This window comes from Homo sapiens, chromosome 3 (assembly GCF_000001405.40).
Source record: "Homo sapiens chromosome 3, GRCh38.p14 Primary Assembly".
Taxonomy (NCBI): domain Eukaryota; kingdom Metazoa; phylum Chordata; class Mammalia; order Primates; family Hominidae; genus Homo; species Homo sapiens.
In genome coordinates, this window is record NC_000003.12 from 66588160 (window position 1) to 66607743 (window position 19584).

At 41.7% G+C, this 19584-nt stretch overlaps 1 long non-coding RNA gene across 1 annotated transcript in view; it reads left to right on the forward strand.

The window, feature by feature from the left end:
- The window catches only part of LOC105377141 (uncharacterized), a 40002-nt gene extending 20915 nt beyond the window's left edge, over nt 1-19087 (forward strand). The window contains exons 2-3 of the long non-coding RNA XR_940934.2: nt 17570-17663; nt 18974-19087. This is a non-coding gene — a long non-coding RNA (uncharacterized LOC105377141). The remainder of the gene's footprint in view (nt 1-17569; nt 17664-18973) is intronic.
- Nucleotides 19088-19584: the final 497 nt, after the last annotated feature.

The following is a 19584-nucleotide window of genomic DNA, read 5'->3' on the forward strand; positions in this document are numbered from 1 at the left end:
GTGTGCATAGACACAACTGGGATAATTTAAGAGAGACATCACTAAAATCCATCAAATGTTCACCTTCCAGTAGAGAATCAATGTGTTATTAATGTTAAAAAATGTTAAAAATATTTTAAAATATTAAAATATTCTAACAAGTCCTGAGCAATACACTAAGATGAAGAAAGTCCTTCTGATTCTGGTTACGGGGGTGACCCCCGTGTTGCTCTGACTGCAGTGGGTGTTGCAATAGCTCATTCATAAATACAGGCACCCCAGTTATTGGCTCATCACAGGCACGTGTTATTGGAAACAGAATATGCAACTTTGACCTCCAAATAATGAGTTGTTGCCAACTCAACTGAAAGCAACTTGTAGACTCTATCCAGCTAAGGGCTGTGGTTTGAGCAAAGACAAATAATACATAAAGCAGAGTTTGTTGTTCAGCTCTGCTGAGGATGAGTACAGGTCACAAGAGCTCAGTTCAACATGTGCAATCAGATATAGACAGCAAAGAATTCATATGGACCAGGCAACAGAATGTTCCTGTGCATGGGAGATCAAATTCATTGTGAGCCATGATGTTTAGAAGACAGACTTCATGACTCAGGGATGAAGGAGTGGCCTCTGACTGATAAAGGAAATGATTGTGTTGAGAAAGATTAAATATACATCCTGGTAGGGCTAATGCTAGGGATAATAAAGCTTATGATGAATTCTGATGAACACTTGGTAGTTAAATAAACCCACAGTGTCTCTCTCAACTCATATAGGGCTCTTGGAGAGTCTTTTTAAACAATTCAATGGAAGGAGCGATGTGCTAATCTTTATGACTTCTTAGTGCTAATGTCAACACCTAGACAGCTAGTAATTGCCAGTCAACAGTATTGATGAGAACAGCTAATGGGAATAATTTAGGAAACTCTTTTCCCTAGAAAAACAGTCTATGTAGGTAGGTGTGAATTACTTCATTTGGTTGACCAAATGGACAACCTGAAAACTGTTATTTGCTTTTGTTCTGTGGTTGTGCCTATCGTCTCTCTGTTCAGGGATATAGGGAGAGTGGAATAATATTAATTTCTCAAATCTCTCAAACCAGTTAATATCTCTAGAACCACTGCCCTAGCTCTAGCCACTCAACTTTTGCTGGTGCTACTGGAGCAGCCTCCTAGCTGGTCTCCTTTACCTAGGCTTGCGACCCTCAACCCAGTCTCCAGTCCTCTGTCTGAATGAGCTCTTTAAAATGTAGATTGCATAATTTCACTTCCCTACTTAAAACCCTCAAATGGCATCCCATTCATTATTCTTGTAAAACTTTGTATATTTTTTTTGCTTATCCACCCACACTTTTCTCTTTTTAAATCTTTTTCAATTGATATGTCATATTTGTACATTTTTTATGGGGTACATGTGGTATTTTGTTACATGTACAGAATGTGTAATGATCAAGTCAGGATATCTGGAGTATCCATTACCCCAAGTATTTATCCTTTCTATGTTTTGGGAACATTTCAAGCCTACTCTTCTAGCTATTTTGAAATACACAATACATTGTTGTTAACTACAGTCACCCTACTCTGCTATCAAACATTGAAACTTACTCCTTCTATCTAACTGTATGTTTGTACCCATTAACCAAACTCTCTTCATTTACCTCCCCCAACCCACACACCCTTCCCAGCCTCTTATATCTATCATTCTACTCTCAACTCTTGGACTCAAGCAATCCACCCATCTCGGCCTCCCAAAGTGTTGAGATTACGGGCGTGAGCCACCACGCCTGGCTCATTCTGCTCTCTTTCTCTGTAAGATCAACTTTTTTAGCTCACACATATGAGAACATGCCATATTTGTCTTTCTGTGCCCGGCTGATTTTGCTTAACATCATGACCTCCAGTTCCATCCATCTTGCTACAAAAGACAAAATTTCCTTCTTTTTAATTGTTGGGTAGTATTTCATTGTGTGCACATACCACATTTTCTTTATCCATTCGTCCATTGAGGGACACTTAGGTTGATTCCATATCTTTGCTATTGTGAATAGTGCTGCAATAAACATAGGGGTGCAGGTGTCCCTTTGATACACTGACTTCTTTCCTTTGGATAAATACCCAACAGTGGGACTGCTGGAAGTTCTATTTTTAGTTTTTTGAGAAATCTCCATATTTTCCCATAATGGCTGTACTAATTTACATTCCCACCAGCAGTGTATAAGAGTTCCTGTTTCTCTGTATCTTTGCCAGCATATATTGTTTTTTGTTTTTTTAATAATAGCCTTTCTAACTGGGGTAAGATGATATCTCATTGTGGTTTTGATTTGTATTTCCCTGATGATTAATGATATTGAGCATTTTTTTCATATACCTGTTGGCCATTTGTATGTCTTCTTTTGAGAAATGTCTCTTCATTGTTCTTGCAAAGCTTTAATAAATGTTTATGCAGGCCAGCTGGCTAGGCCTTGCTAGATTTAGTCCCTTCCTGGCATTCCAGTACCTGCTCATGCCTCTGGCCCTGTGCCTTACCCCCCATTCTGCTTGCAATGGGCACACCAACCTTCTTTCAATTCTGTGAACTAACCTAACGCTTTCCAGCTGCACAGCCTTTGCCAGTGCTAGTCCCTCTGCCTGGAATATCCTTGCCATTAGTTGTGATGTGGCTATGTCTTACTTCAGACCCCAATTGCTATGTCACTTCCTCAGAGAGGCCTTTCTGGGACACCACATCAAAATTAGAAACTCTGCGTGCTCTCTTTCTTTCAGATCCCTTTCTTCCATAGCACTTATTATAGTTGGTAACTATATTTGTATCTGAGTGATTATATATTTAACGCCAGCCTTCTACTGCACTATAAGCATAAAAAGTATAATGCATATCTTATTTATTAATGCATCTTCAGGATCTAGCAAGTAAACTGGTACACTAAAAGTTGCTCAATAAATACTTGCTGAAAGAAACATATTTAACCATAAGATGCTCACTGTGGTCAGAAATAAGATGTAGGTGGAGACGTCTTCTAAACAAACCACCAGCATTCTTTAGGACTCTGAGTTAGTTTTATTACTGTCTGGGTACCTTGTTAAATTCTGAAATCAAGATGATGGGGAAAAATTTGACTGATCATTTAACCTTCATTTATATTTAACATGACTTTCCCAAACAGATGGGGGGCTATGCCAGCCTTGTAAGTGGATGTACAAAATATGTATGGTCAAAATGCACACAAAGCAATTCCATCAATTCCCTTCTTTTCTGTGATTATTCCTCAACTTATTGTGACCAAGAATCAGTCCAGTATTTGGCAACAAGAGGGGTGAAAATGAACCGAAGACATGAGCAACAATTGACATGGAATCCCTAGGTGCTCCCAGCAGACCCACATTCTCAAGAAAGCCAATGCAAGAGGTGGGGCAAAGAGGGGCAGAGGATAAGAAATTTATTTTCTGACCCCTACTTAATGGTTTTAGGTCCACTTTGACCAGGGAAGAAAGAACTGTTTTTAAAAATGACTCACTTTATTCTTAAATGTCTCTAAGAGAAAGAGGTGCTACAATCTCCACAGGGAGGAGGTAAAAATTAAATCAGATAATCCTGGGAAATGATTTTGCAAAGTGGCTGTCCTATAGCCAGTGCTCAATCACACTGAGTGTTCAGCAATGCTGGGAGAGCCTCTTTCAAATCTTTAGTCTTGGAATCAATACTGATCATCTTAGAACTCTAACTCTTATGGCCAAAAGGTTTTTGATAACTCAAACTTAGATTTTCTTCCCTGTCGCTTCACAGTGTTTTGTAGCCTTTAATATTTCCTCTACCTTTCTTAAAATGTGAAATTTGAAAGTAATAAGTATTTCATGTTGATGATGTCTTAGAGAGTTGGGGTGAATTGTTGGGTCCTAGCAATTAGCCAAATAGCCAAGCCTAGATTTTTTCCTTTCCTTTCTTTCCCGGCCCTCATTATTTGGGTAATTGCATCAATTCTACAATTGGTTTTACATGTATTGCCAGAGTCTAAGCTGTGCAAAAAGGGATGTCCTTTAATGATTTCCTTTGAATGGCTTTCCATCTAGGGAGGAAGAGGGCCCCTCTTGTTCAAAAACAAAGGAATCATCCATCCCACCAAGACCTTTCTTCTCTATTAAGTATCTCTTGAATTTCAAAGGCGGACTTGGAATTTCTCAGTCCCAATCTTAACGGCAGTTCCAGACTGCAGTTTATTTTCTTTGTCCCTTTAAGACCAGAAAACATTACAGCAATGCAATAACTGTTCTTATTTTTCTTGGGTTCAAAACAAGACCAGATTCCAATCTGCTAAAGCTTACCATTTCACAGTAACCAAGCAGTTCATGATTATCAGCTCAAGCATACATTTTCCTTCCAAACAAGGATATGGCTACTAGCGGCAACAGCTGTATTTTGCTAGTCAATCCTTATGTTAAAGATTTACAGTTTTAAATTCTGTCACTTGGTTTGCCAACTGTTCTTCTTCCTGGAGCTGCCCAGTTGTTTCTGAGGGGACTTGAAGTGGTTTCCTAGCTGTTTCAACGCCCTGAATGACAATGCATCCTCAGAGTCAGACTGGAGAATGGAATTCCCTGTTTATATCCACAAGACTTCTCTCGCTCTCCTTCTTTTTTTTTTTTTTTTTTTTGAGAGGGAGCCTTACTGTGTCACCTAGGCTGGAGTGCAGTGGCGCGATCTCTGCTCACAGCAACCTCCGCCTCCCGGGTTCAAGTGATTCTTCTGCCTCAGCCTCCCAAGTAGCTGGGACTACAGGCATGCGCTATCACGGCTGGCTATTTTTTTTTTTGTATTTTTAGTAGAGACGGGATTTCACCACATTGACCAGGCAAATCTCAAACTCCTGAGCTCAACTGATCCGCCCGCTTTGGCCTCCCAAAGTGCTGGGATTACAGTTGTGAGCCACTGCACCCGGCCTCTCCTTCTTTTAAACATATGCAGACTCACCGCAGAAACTGGAAACAGATTAAAAGAAATGCTGGCTTTTAAGGCGAGTTTGAAAAACGTAAAGCTGGGAGCCGGCTTCCCGCTCTCCCTGGTTCCCTTTTTGTGTTCTCTTCTGTGATTCATCTGCTCTAATCCATCACCGATTCATCATGCTCATCCATCAGACCCTTCAAAGCAAACCCTACAGCTGCTTTTGCCATTTATCAGTGGGAAATAAAAGGGAAAGGGGGAAAAGTAAGGAAAATATCACGACCTTTCTGGGCCTGGGATAATGGGTGTGAAAAAAGGGTGGAGGGAAAGCTTATCTAATGAAACCCAGAGCCTTTCTGGGATGTGAGTTCTTGAACAAAGGATTATGACTGAGAGCAAGACCAGCAGCCAGTCTGCAGTAAAGTTTCAGGGATAAAGTCTGCCAGAAACAAAAGGTTTAGTGGGAAACTAGAGGAATGTGGACAAAATGATATCCACTCCAGAGGAGTTTAAAACCTACCAATATTCATAGAAATTTGTTGTCTGTGACCAGTCTCTCAGCTTTCAGCTGTGTAATAGAACATGGGCATTCAGGTTGAGAGGCAAACATTTGACTTCAGTGCCCTTCCTTGCAAACTGGGAAATGACTGATATTGTAATTCACCGTTCTCATTTTCATAAGATGCCTTGCAAGTCCTCTGCCATTTAAACACAACTGATGTGCCTTAATTTTGAATTTGTCATGCACCAGATTTTTATTTTTTATTTTTAAATTTTTATTTATTTATTTAAAAAATAGAGACGAGGTCTCACTATGTTGTACAGGCTGGTCTTGAACTCCTGAGCTCAAGTGATCCTCCCGTCCCGGTCTCCCAAAGTGCTAGGATTACAGGTGTGAGCCACTATGCCTGGCCTCATGCACCAGTTTTGCTCTCAAATTTGAGAATCAAAAAATAAGGACTGACTCAGTGATTCCACTTCTAGTAATTCAGCCTATATACGTGTAATCCATGTAGGAGGTTACTCTCTTTGTCATCATAGAAGGTAGAAACAGCCCAAAGTTTCATCATCAATGTCATGTAGCTTTTAGAAAGAATGAGGAAGGTAAACAAACTGTGGACACTATGGAATTCTATGACTCACCAATAAAAGGGAATAACTACAAATGCATGCAATGAGGTGGATGGACCTCAAAAGCAAGAGAGAACTTACTGTATGATTTCATTTACAGGACATTCTAGAGTGGGCAAAGCTATTTTATGGTAGAAAAAGAACAAGAGCTGCCTCTGAGGGTACAAAGGTGGGGACTGATGGGTAAAGGGCATGAAGGACGTTTCTGGGGGTGATGTTGATACCTTGTATCTTGATAGGGGTTTGGGTTACACAAAAGTATTTATTATCCAAACTCAGTGAATTTTGCACCTAAGATTTATATGTTTATCAAAGCTTAGAGAATATTTACTTAAAATTTGTGCATTTTATTATAGGTATTTTTTTTAAGTAAAAAGTTATAAACCAGTAATGAAATTCTGACTAAGAATATGCTTGCTCGAGTATTTGGATAAAAGTCTATTTATGTTTTCTATTTACTTTGAAATGCATCCCAAATAATATGGATTGCTGGATGGATAGAAAGATGACTGATGGGTGAATATTTGATAAAGCAAGCACAGTAAAGTGTTAATGGTAAAACCTAACTGGTGGGTATTCACAGGCATTCCTGGTAAAACTACTTAAATTTCACTCTATTTTGAATTTGTGTGTGTGTGTGTTTGTTTTTTGGGTTGGTTTTTTTTTTTTTTTTTTTTTTTTTTTTTCCTGAGATGAAGTCTCGCTCTGTTGCCCAGGCTGGAGTGCAGTGGCACAGGCTTGGCTCACTGCAATCTCTGTGTCCTGGGTTCAAGCGATTCTCCTGCCTCAGACTCCCAAATAGCTGGGATTTCCGGTGCATGCCACCATGCCAGCTGATTTTTGTTATTTTTAGTAGAGATGGAGTTTTGCCATGTTGGCCAGGCTGGTCTCAAACTCCTGATCTCAAGTGATCTGCCCGCCTCAGCCTCCCAAAGTGCTGGGATTGCAGGCATGAGCTACTGTGCCTAGCCAATTTTGAATATTTTAATAAAGTTTTGGGAAACAAAAAAAAAGAATGAGGAAGCTTTTTATATCCTCATATAGACTTTTTTCCAGTTTTATTGTTAGGTGAAAAAAGTTGCAGGCCACGCACGGTGGCTCACGCCTGTAATCCCAGCACTTTGGGAGGCCAAGGCGGGTGGATCACAAGGTCAGGAGTTCAAGACCAGTCTGGCCAACATGGTGAAAACCCATTTCTATTAAAAATACAAAAATTAGCTGGGTGTGGTGGCATGTGCCTGTAATCTCAGCTACTCAGGAGGATGAGGCAGGAGAATCACTTGAACCCAGAAGGTGGAGGTTTCAGTGAGCTGAGACTGTGCCACTGCACTCCAGCCTGGGCAACAGAGTGAGACTCTGTCTCAAAAGAAAAAAAGTTGATCGGCCGCGGTGGCTCATGCCTGTAATCCCAGCACTTTGGGAGGCCGAGGTTGGGGGATCACGAGGTCAGGAGATCAAGATCATCCTGGCTAATGTGGTGAAACCCCGTCTCTACTATAACACAAAAAAATTAGCCGGGTGTAGTGGTGGGCACCTGTAGTCCCAGCTATATGGGAGGCTGAGGCAGGAGAATGGCGTGAACCCGGGAGGCGGAGCTTGCCGTGAGCTGAGACTGCGCCACTGCACTCCAGCCTGGGTGACAGAGCGAGACTCTGTCTGAAAAAAAAAAAAAAAAAAAAAAAGGTGCAGTATTCACAGTATGCTGCCAATTGCAGAAAGAAAGAAGGAACTCATATGCGTATCTGAGTCTATGTGCCGATATCATCTCTTGAGGGAGACCCTAGAAATGGATTACCGTAGAGGAAATAACACTAGAAATGGTTACTTTAGAGGAGGGAAAATGGGTGCCTGGAGGGGAGGTGGGAAGGAGAGAGCATATTTTAAATCATTATGATGATTTAAAGGGTAAATTATTGTATACTTTTGGATTTTGTATAGGTGAAAGTATTACCAATTCAAATAAAAAAAATCAAAAGCAATAGTATATGCTAGAGTCATCTCAAATGTCTACAATGGGCTCCCTTTGCATGGCTGACATTTGGAATTTATTCTCCTAGCATCCATTCAATTCATCTGATGTTCCCTAATCTCTTATGTGCCAGGCATGGTGCCAGACTTTGTGGATAGGGTAGGGAATTGGGGGCAGCTGTGTCCTTGCCCTCACTGAGCTTACTGATCTAATGAAAGGATGGGTACACATTTGGAATGGATGTAAGTTCTGATCTAACCTAGTCTGGGGTGTGGGTGGGGTCAGGAGGCATTTTTATACAAGGAAAAACTGAGCTAATAAAGAAAGGATCCCCAAACTAGGGTGGGGAGAACAGCATGTACAAAGCTTCTGCTGGGGATGGAGCAGGGTGGTTTAAGTCCCTGAAAGAAGGCCAGGGTGGCGGATCACGAAGAACACAGAGGACGGACAGAGGAGATGAGGAGATACCAGAGACCACATTCAGGATATTGATCTTTATCCTGTTGTTTAATATCATAATGTACTTTCTGAACATCCTTTGTATGTCAAGAAACATTTTTCTCTCTGTAGTGGGGTTTTTGCCCCCACAGGTTCTAAGAGAAAATGGGAGCAGAGCTTGTTACATCCCTTCTTAGGAGAAATGAAGCACCTCACTAAATCTCCTGACATATCAGGCACTCATATCTTCTTTTCAAGGATCAGAGCCTGCATTTCTTGCCTGAGGGCTTTCTTTGGCTGCTGGGGTCTTCTCTGCCCCGTGAAGCAGGCAAATGGTATCCTAGAGAGTTAATGCCCCCCGAGAACAGCCCTTAACCAATTGATAGAGGAGGTAGAAAGAAATTATTTAGGCAGATAGTGAGGGCAAAAGAGCCCTTGGCAGAATTTCTTTTCTAACAAAAAGCAGCCCCCAAAGTCATTCCTTTTCTAATAAAGAGCAGCATGAAAAATCTAGCTGCAAACATAGATAAAGCTGGAAGCTTGCACGGGGAAATGCTAGTAGCTCCACCAACAGAAAAGGGCTACCTGGGGGCCAGGCATGTCCAACATGGAGACTCCATCTTCCCTTTTTTTGTTGTTGTTACCACGTGTACAGTAATAAAGAAATGGGCAACATGGCTCAACTCAGGCAGAGAACCCACCTGCATAATAAAAGATTAGGGTGGAAGCTACCAGAGATTCTCTCCCTATAGAAATGGCACACCTGTTCTAACCAGTCTTTCATGGTGTATGTAAATCAGATACCACCTCCTCACCAGCTCATCTATAAAACCCCCTGCTCGTAAACTCACTCTTTGTGTGTCTGCGTCCTTGTTCTCCATGGGACAACAAACCTCATGTTGCCGTGAGACGACAAACCTCAGCTGTTACTCCAGACAACAAGGCCATTTCACAATGACTGATGGGAGTTGGCCTATTCATACCCCAGCTCATCTACATTGGGCTTCCACAGGCCTTTTTGTGTTTTTTTCAGTGGCAACTGGGGAGAGAGTTGGCTTTGATGAGTTCAGTTGCAGAGTTTGGACTTGGTTAAGATCCTAGGTGTTTTGACCTTTCTGAACCCAGCCAGTATTTTTTTGATCTTTAATCTCACTAAATATAATTGCAGAATATACACTCATTTAAGAATTATATTGGCTTCCATTTTCTATAAAAATGTCTAACTCATATGCTAGCGTATGGTCACTTTACACTCTTTTATGGGATTCCTAGATGGGCCAGTATCAATATTCTCCTTGAAATTATCAAGAACCAAATAAACAGATGCCAGATAGTCTGATTGGAACGAAAATCTTACTTCATTTGACAATTTTTTTCTGAAGGACTGTTACCTTTAAACCTTTAAACTAGTCCACATACGTGGTACAGCTAATTCTCTACATCCCATCTTTCACATTTTTCACTTGTTACTTTTGAAAAATTAGTGGAATTTTTCACGGAGATCAGATGTGAAGAAATCTATGGCAGGGTGAAATTTTCTAGTCTAGAGGCTGCCTTTCTATGAAGGTCTCATTTCCCTTCCTTTTTAAAAAAATTAGGCTGTTTTAGGGCGGGTCTCTGTGGGTGACTCAAATTAAAACCTTTTTAGTTTGGGAAGCTGAAGCACCAAGATATTTTCACGCTGGGATTACTTGTCCAGATGGTTTGAGCACAATTTTCTTGGCATGCTCGTAAGAACACAGGAATTTTCAGGGGAAACCAGAGAACATAGTAGTGGGGAGGGTAGGTGGGGGAGGGCAAGTCAGGGCTGAGAAGGCAGAAATAAGGTTTGGATTCCACCAAATGGCACTGACCAGCTGAATTGGAATCAGTCCTAGTTATAGTTGGCACGGGTACCCCTCTCTCCGCTCCAAGATCACGGACTTTCCCTCTTCATAATGGGAATTACCTGGCTTTCCTAACAGAGAACGGAGGGGGGAAGAACTATAGGGAAATTCATGGAGCTGATGAAGATAACGATTGAGGTGCAGCCCCCAAACCTCACCATCAGGAAAGCATTGGTCAACTCCTGTATGCATGCATGGGACACCGAGCAAGGTGGGGAAGGAGGGGTGTGAAGGGCAGTGTTAGGCCTGGAAACACAGCATGGGCAGGCAACTCTCTTTGATAGCGTCAGCAACCACTGCTTAAAAACACAGAAATTAAAAATGGCAGGCAGAATTCTGAGATGGCTCCCAAGATTTCCAGGACCTGATGCACACATACTTTCCGTGTATGTGAATCATGTACAGTCCAACGTGATTCCAGGTACTGCTGTGAAAGATGTACGCAGATGTCATTAAGGCCCCAGATTAGTTGATTTTAGGATAGGGTGATTATCCAGGTGGGCCTGAACTCATCACATGAGACCTTTCAAAGGAGAAGGTGGCAGAGGTGGAACTCAGAGAGCTGGGTCTCTGTTGACCTGGGAGAAAGCAGACACCCAGGTTTGTGAAAGCCTGTGGAGGATGTGGTGATGGACTGGGGTAGCCTATAGGAGCTGACAGTGGTACCTGGCTGACAGTTGGCAGAAAAATGACCTGCATACTTAGAAGAGCACCCAAAGCCCCAAATGAGAACCACAGCCCTGGTTAATATCTTGATTTCAACCCAGTGAAGCTCTGAACAGAGACTCCAGCTAAGTCCCATGAACAGGCCTCTCACCTACAGAGCTGGAAAGATAATATATTTGTGTTGTTCCAACCTGCTAAATTTGTGGTAATTTGTTCCACAGCAAAAGAATGATGAAATGTTATGACAATGGATAGGTGAATAGTGAGAGAGGCAGTGCAGCATGGAATCAAGAAAATGAGCTCTTTCTTGGCTTTTTTTTTTTTTCTTTTTTGAGACGGAGCCTCGCTCTGTCACCAGGCTGGAGTGCAGTGGCGCGATCTCTGCTCACTGCAAGCTCCGCCTCCCGGGTTCAAGCGATTCCCCTGCCTCAGCCTCCCGAGTAGCTGGGATTACAGGCACATGCCACCACGCCCGGCTAATTTGTTTGTATTTTAGTAGAGATGGGGTTTCACCATGTTGGCCAGGATGGTCTCGATCTCCTGACCTCTTTATCCACCCGCCTTGGCCTCCCAAAGTGCTGGGATTACAGGCGTGAGCCACCATGCCCGGCTGAAAATGAGCTCTTTCTTTAAACTTCTCTGATGAAAATCCTGGCTCTGCCACTTCATAGCTGTGTGATTTTTAAACAGGTGATCTAACCTTGCTATATGTATTTCCTCATGTGTAAAAAAAGATTTAAATAGTAAGATTAAAAGAACATTATGAAGATCAAATGAAATAATATGTATCAAGCCCTAAGTCATGTGTAAAAGCCACGATGTATGTTAACTTAATGAGTGCTCAAAAAATAAGAGTTATCATCAGCAGCCATAATCTGTGGATCATATAGCACGTGTCTGGTGCTGCACAAGGGGCCTTAAAGAAATTAATCTTCAAAGAAACCCTGTGAGATTGGATTCCCCATTTTACAGATGGGGAAACTGCAACTCAGAGAGGTTCAATAACATGCCCAATATTATGCAACTAGTCAGTAGAGGAGCCAGGACGAAAACTACAGGGCTCTTTGATCCTAAACCCCATCCTGTGAACTGCTATTTTAAGTCCTATGCACAGTGAAGAGGTTGTAACTCTCCAGGTTGTTGTCCTGAGGAGACCCAGGGCACCAAGATTGGGATTCCCAAACTGCCAGGTCTCTCAAAATGGAGCCCAAATGATCCCAGAACTTTGGGAGGCTGAAGCAAGAGGATTGCTTGAACCCAGGAGTTCAAGCCCATCCTGGGCAACACAGGGAGATCCCGTCCCCATAAAAAATTAAAAAAGGAGCTGGGCATGGTGGCACATGCTTGTCATCCCAGCTACTTAGGAGGCTGAAGTGGGAGGATCCTTTGAGCCCAGGAGGTCGAGGCTGAAGTGAGCTGTGACTGTACCACTGCACTCTAGCCTGGGAGACAGAGCGAGACCCTGTCTTGAAAACGGAAAAAGATCCCCAATTCTCCAGCACTGTTCTCCACTCCATGGGATTCTCTCTGCTTTGTCCCTGTCTTGTATAGTTCCCTCCTGTTCACCCCTCAGATCTCCTGACCTCATAGATTAGACCAAGTCCACTTCAGTGCACTCTCCTAAAGTCCTTCTTTGTAGCAGTTCTTGCATTTTATCATTATGTGCTAGACCAGTGGTTCTCATCTGTGGGCAATTTTTCCCATGTTTGTCATTGTCTGGAGGCACATTTGGTTGTCACAATGGAAGCAGGTGCTCTTGGCCTATAGCGAGTGGAGGTCAGGGATGCTACTGAACATCCTACAGTGCAGTGCCCAGAAACAAAGGATAATCCAGCCCTCCATGTTAACAGTGCTGAGTCTGAGCAACTCTGTGCTGTGCCGTAGGCTCCACAGGGCTGGGGTTGCATCTGTATTTCCCCAGTCCCTAGGATGACCCTCTCAAGAGAAGTTTATTGAAGGAATGAAAGGAAGATAAACGGTGAATCTCAGGTCAGCCTTGTTGCTAGCTCTGCTCCACTTTCTGTAGTTTCAAAAAACTGACCTCAGTGGCAGAGAGTAACTTTGAAACTTATGTATGTCCTTGGAAAAGGGGAAAATAAATGGGCAAAATAAGTCCTTGGTAAAGGAGTTAGAGTTCTTTCTTCTTCGCCCTCAGTGGTCCTGCCCTCTTCAGCTTTTCCTAAAATTTTAACTGATTTTTTTTCCCAAAATAATCTATGTTTGATGAAGAAAACTAGAAATGCAGATGGCCCAAAGAAAATATAAATAATCCATAATCCTATTATCTAAATATAAAAGCTGTTAATATCCTAGGGCATATCCTTCCAGTTCTATATCTATATATATATTTAAAACAAAAGTGAGATTATGCTGCACATATAAATGCAAAGTTTTTGTAAGTTAAGAGTAATTCCTGAACATTCATTTATTCATTTACCAAATATTTCTAGTTTCCTTCTAGTGCGCAGGTACATATAGGAGAAAAAAAATCATTTCATGCCATTATATAGTTTTTCTTTCTCTTTCTTCCTTCTTCCTTTCCTTTCCTTTCCTTTCCTTCCCTCCCCCTGCTCCTCCCCCTCCCCCCCTTCCTTCCTTTCTTTCTCTCTTTCTTTTTTTGAGACAGGATCTCCCTCTGTTGCCCAGGCTGGAGTGCAGTGCTGCGATCACAGCTCACTGGAGCCTTCTCCTGGGCTCAAGTGATCCTCCCACTTCAGCCTCCCAAGCAGCTGGGACTACAGGCATGTGCCACCATGCCTGGCTAATTTTTTAGATTTTTTGTAGAGACCGGGTCTCCCTATGTTACCCAGGCTGATCTGGAATTCCTGGGCTCAAGCGATCCTCTTGACTCAGCCTCCCAGAGTGCTAGGATTACAGGCCTCCATCATACAGCTTTCCATAGCATCAGTTTTCATGACTGCATGTTATTAACATCAAATGGCTACCCCATAATTTATTCAGCCAATACTCTATTATCAGACATTTAGATGGCCTCCTCCTCTCTTTTTTTCTTCTCTTCCTATACCCTTTCCCCTTCCCTCCCTCCCTCCCTCCTTCCCTCCCTCCATTTCCTCCTTCCCTCCATCCATTTCCTCCCTCATTCCCTCGATCCATTCCTTTCTTCCTACCTTCTCTCTTCCTCCTCCTCCTCCTCCTTTCTACTATAAATGCTGCCATCATGAACATCTTTGTGGCTTAACATTTACACATGTCCCTGATGACTTCTACAGAATCAATTTGCCTCTCACTGCTTTGGAAACCACTCGCTGTCACAGAATTTAACCAAGACCACAGGTCCAGCAGCAAACACACAGACATTTCAAGTGGAAAAATGCGTTTTACTCCTTCTAGTAACACCGGTGGGAGAGTAAGGTTGTAGGAGAAGCAAGGCAGGATAGCCAATTCTCACTTGAGATGTGGTTTTCACATTGTCTAAACCTGTTTGGGCACATCAGCCTTTAGCAGGGAGCAACTTTATTGTCTCTTCTGCCAGAGGCTTCCCAAAATTCTCAACTTCTTTTTTAGTTCCCAGTGAAGAGTCTTGACATTTACAGAGAGTTAAAGAAGAAAACGATGTGCTTGTGGACAAATTAAAATAGACAATGCCAACTGGCCGGGAGTCATCATTTCTGTATATGAGAGGTGGGGAGCCCGATCAAAGCCCTGAGTAAACAGCTTACAGACACAAAAGACAAAGTGTTTTGTTTTCTGAGCACTGGAAATTCAGGAACAACCTGTGTCAGATTTTGCAACCTTTGCAAGAGTTTGGGTATCATAACATAGCGATCTTACTCTTGGAGCCATTACAGAGCCAATCACCAAACTAACCAGGTTCTTTAACCTGGAAGCTAAAGATGGCTATGGAACCGGCCCCCCCACATCAGATATACATTTGGGGCACTGGGGAGCAAGTGGGGTTGGAATGAAGGTGTTGGTGACAACATGGTATATTTGCAAAACTACCAAAGTCATTCCCTCTCTCACCTTTGACAATTGCTGACTGTATACTGACATTTTGAACTTGAAGCATTCTCCAGGTGAGCAAAGGACAAAGGGAGAAAAGATATGCTCTAGTCAAAGAAGGAACACACCTTGTAAATGTGGGAGGTGACTTCTGGCATTGTATTCTCAAGACATAAGGGGCTGAGCTGCAGGAAGAAGCCACCCAACCCCAAAGCATTTAAGGTTGTGTGGTTTTCCTGGGTATAAAGCACAGGAAAGAGTCCAGGGGAAGGGAGGAATGCTTTGTTCATAAAATACAAAGCTAAGCAAACAGTGCAGGTTGGAAAGGAATTGTAATGTTTTAATATTGTGTAAAAGAATAGATGATAAATCCACTTAGAATTGACGGGAGCAGCCGTGTGAATAATCCAAAAAGCATTGCTCCAAGTCTCGAGAATGAATAATGGGATCGCTTGCCCCAGCATATTTCTCTTTCTAAGTATGTTTCCTGTAGTTTATTGTTAAAATTAATGAGCACTCCCTGAGTGGCTGGGGAAAGGTGACCTGTATGTTGGGTGACATGAAGAAACCTCCCTGAGGCCAAAACATTCCTGCAGATAATATATGCGTGATCAATGAGAGTTCACTGGGTGTATTAATTTTGATTAAAAAAACCCTTGAATCCATTCCTGTTCATTGATAGTTTTAATGTGGTGATTCCAGTGTCCTGCACACGACTAATCACTAAAGTCATATCCTCTGACCTACCATATATTCACTGTCTCTTATGACCCTGTTTTATTTTCTTATTTTATTACCACCGGATGAAATTATCTTGTGTTATTATTTTTTAAACTTCGACCAGAATATAAGCTGCAAGAGGTTGAGGAATCCCGCTGTCCTGTTCACTACAGTATTCTCTATGCCTAATACAGTACCTGGCACATAGTAGGTGCTCAGTAAATATTTGCAGAGGAAATCAACACGTTTCCATCCAACACACTTTCTAGGAAGAAAGCTAGTGCTCTGTGAAGATTCAGTGTCAGCTGAGCTTCCTAAAAGATCTTCCACTCTCATCTCTTCTTTCTTTTTTTCTATTTAAAAAATTAAGCTATAAGTTACAAACAGTAAAGTACATCCTCCTTAGTGTGCAGGTCTGAAAGTTTTGATAAATGCATACAGTCACGCAACCACCATAATCAAGGTATGGAATAGATCCATCATTCCCACAGTTCCCCTCGCTACCCCTGGTAACCATTGATCTGATTTCTGTCCTTATAGTATGAACCATTTAAATCTGGCTTCTTTCACTTAGCATAATGCATTTGAGATTCATCTATGTTGTATGTATCATTAATTAGTTCCTTTCAATTGCCATGTAGTATTCCATTATATGGATATAGCACAGTTTGTTCATCTACTCTCCACTGGAGGGGCATGTTCTCATCTCTTCTTATATGAAAATGCTGTGCACTCACAGGGGCTAAGAGCAGAATTTTTAGGATCAGAAATAGGATTGGATTCTTGGCCTGTCACCGCTTAGCTGTATGACCTTTGGACAAGTCAGTGAAATGCTCTATGACTCAGTTTTCTCAAAAAGAGAAGTGAGGATAACTTACATAATTTATTTAGCACAAAGTCTGGCAAATAATAAGTGCACCATAAATAGTAACTCTAATCATTTTTTGGGGGGAGTTGGGAAAGGTCCTGCTTGAATTTCCCTTGCTCTGATCACCTCACCAATGTTTAATCATTCAGTCTTGCTATTTAACTGGTCTGAATCTTATTTTTTTCACCTGAAAAATGAGGGTAATAATACCAGCTTCACATAATTGCTAGCAGACTAAATGGGCTAATAGGCATAACTATCCTAATGTAGTGTGTTGGCCCAGAAGAAAGGATGGTTAGAATATGGGCACTTGGTGAATATGACTCATATACCATCTTTAAGGCTTGCAGGAATTAGAAGGAAGCAGAGTTGTATAGATGGGAGATGGAGGAAGGCTCTGGGGTCAAACTGCCTGGGTCCCATTCCCAGCTCTCTGCCTTCCTACCTGAGTGAAACTGGACAAATTACTTCACCTCTCTATGTCTGTTTTTTCATCTGACACATGGGGATAATAATAATACCTACCTGAAGGGTTGTTCTGGAGATTACAAAAGATAATGCATGTCAGGTGCTTGGGCACACAGACTTCATAAATGACAGCAGGGAAGATGGTTAGATATTGAACATGCCTGACTCCTTTAGATGGCCTAAGCTTTAGTTATCTTTGTATTATAATATTATATTAGCACACTTTCAAGAACAATGTAGGAGCTCACTGCATGTTTGTTGACCTGAATTAATCTAAAGAACACATTTCCCTTTGGGTCACATTACGATCTCACATGTTATCATGTATTTTGATATCCAATGTAAACAAATTTTTCAAAGGATATGTTGCAAAACTGCCAACAGTGAGATTCAGAAAAGCAGTTGAGGATGTACATTATTCTTAAAAGAAGGCTTTCATTAGGATGGTTGCATGAAATTTTTCATATTGGCCACTTCTTTAGGAGAAATCACCCTTGATTCTTCTGAAAGAGACCTTTGACATTTCACTTGTATTTTCCTTCATAGATGAACACATTGAGTTTCTGTGATGGCCTGGTAGCCTTTGGACATCAGACTTGTCTGTTTTCTGCTCTAGAATTGGCCTGCTCTGTGACTTCAGGTAAAGTGACTGCCTCCTCTGTGCCATAGGCGCTCCATTAGCCACCTGTGTGCATTGCAGTGTTAAATCAACAATTCTTTAAAAGCTGCATGATATCCACAAAGATGGTGGGTGTGTGTTGGGGTGGTGGAAGACACTATAGAAGTTATTCTCATTCATTATAAAGAAGTGAGGGGGTTTGGACATTATTTGGTAAGAAGATAGCCTTGTGTAGACTATACTACTCATGCATGTCAAGTTACTAAGTCCTCATTAAGATCTATTTATGTATTCATTCATTTATTTTAGAATTGTCAACCACTTATGTTGCCCAGCTGTCAAAAGACAGCCACCCTTGGTGGAGGGCATGTGATTGCATAAGGAAGGTTTTGCATCACATTCTTTTGGCCACTGAAAATGTCAAGGGTCTTTAGGATCAAAACTGGTCCAACTGGAGTGAATCTCTAAACTGAGGTGGGAACTACCAGAAAAGAGGCTCATTGTTTCCTCCTGGATTTGACATCAGGAGCAGCTGCTGTTGACTGTCCTGACACTCCAGGAGACACTTCCCAAGAACAGGAGAAGCTGGGCTCAGGAACATAGAGAGAAATGAGATCCTAATGACGGGGTCAGAGGCCTGACTCCAAATGTGCCTGAAAGCCAATCTATTGATGGCTTTTTCAGTTTTGTAAGCCAGTTAGTCTGCTCTCTCATACCTGCTTTCTGGCCTGTGCTGGCTTGGGTTGGGTTGTCTTTGGCTTGTAATAGAAAGAGTCCTATTTAATATTAAAACCAGTTATTTATGAGATCTTGGGGGTAACTTAGCAACTCTGAGCTTCAATTTTCTCATCTGTAAAATGGGGATAACTAATTTTTTTTAATTTATTTATTTTGTTTTTGTTTTTCAAGTTTTCTCTTTTTTTAATAAAAAGGGGGATAATTTATAATGTGTAGTTTTATTGTGATAATTAGAAATAATACTAGTATATAGTAATACGTGAAGAAAACCAAATGCTTTTCAAATGTCATCTTCCTAGAGAGGGATCCCCGACCCTCCTATTTAAAATTTCTAAGCCTCAACCCTCTCCATCTCCATAAGCCTGCTTTATGCTTGTAGCATTTATTTTCTATCTGTGGCAAAGTGATTTCTTTAATGGTCCCAACTAATGGCTTCCCTGTAACTGCATCTTTTGTCCTGTAACTTTATAGACTATTGCCTCTCTGGAGCTGGACTCCATCATGTGACTTTCTTTGGCCAATGAGATGTTAGCAACCATGATGTAAGCAAACACTTGAAAAGCATGTGTACATTTCCGTTTGCCTTCTTGCAGGATTGGGTTGTTTGCCTTTGTCCCTGTCTGACCATGGGAACATGACTGGGCTAGCTGGCTGGAGGGATAGGAGAGAGACATGGACCAGAATGGCCTAGTTTTGTCTAGCTGACCCCAGATGTATGAGCCCTCAGTTGCAACTTTGCCAGCTGCCTTCCAGACCTGGGAGCAAACCCAGCTGAGACCAGAAGAACTGTCCAGCCTAAATCACTGATTTACAGAATCAGGAGCTAAATAAATGATTATTGTTTTAAGCCACTGAAATTTGGGGTGGTTCGCTATATAGCACAGGCTACCTGATATGCTAACATACCATCTAATTTACTTACTTGTTACGTGTAGTCTCTCTCTCCCCCATCTAGACTGTGAGTCCCAAGAGGGTTGAGATTTTTGCCTGTGTTATTCAGAGCCATGCCCAGTGCCTAGAACAGAGCCTTACACACAGTAGGTACTTGATAAATACTTCTTGAATATTAAATGAATAACATATAAAGTACCCTACAAAATGGCACTTGGGTTGATGTTTAACAAATAGTGGCTAATATAATCATAAGGTTAAACATTTTTATGCCAGAACCAACATTTTTTTTTTTTTCATCAGGGTCTTCTGT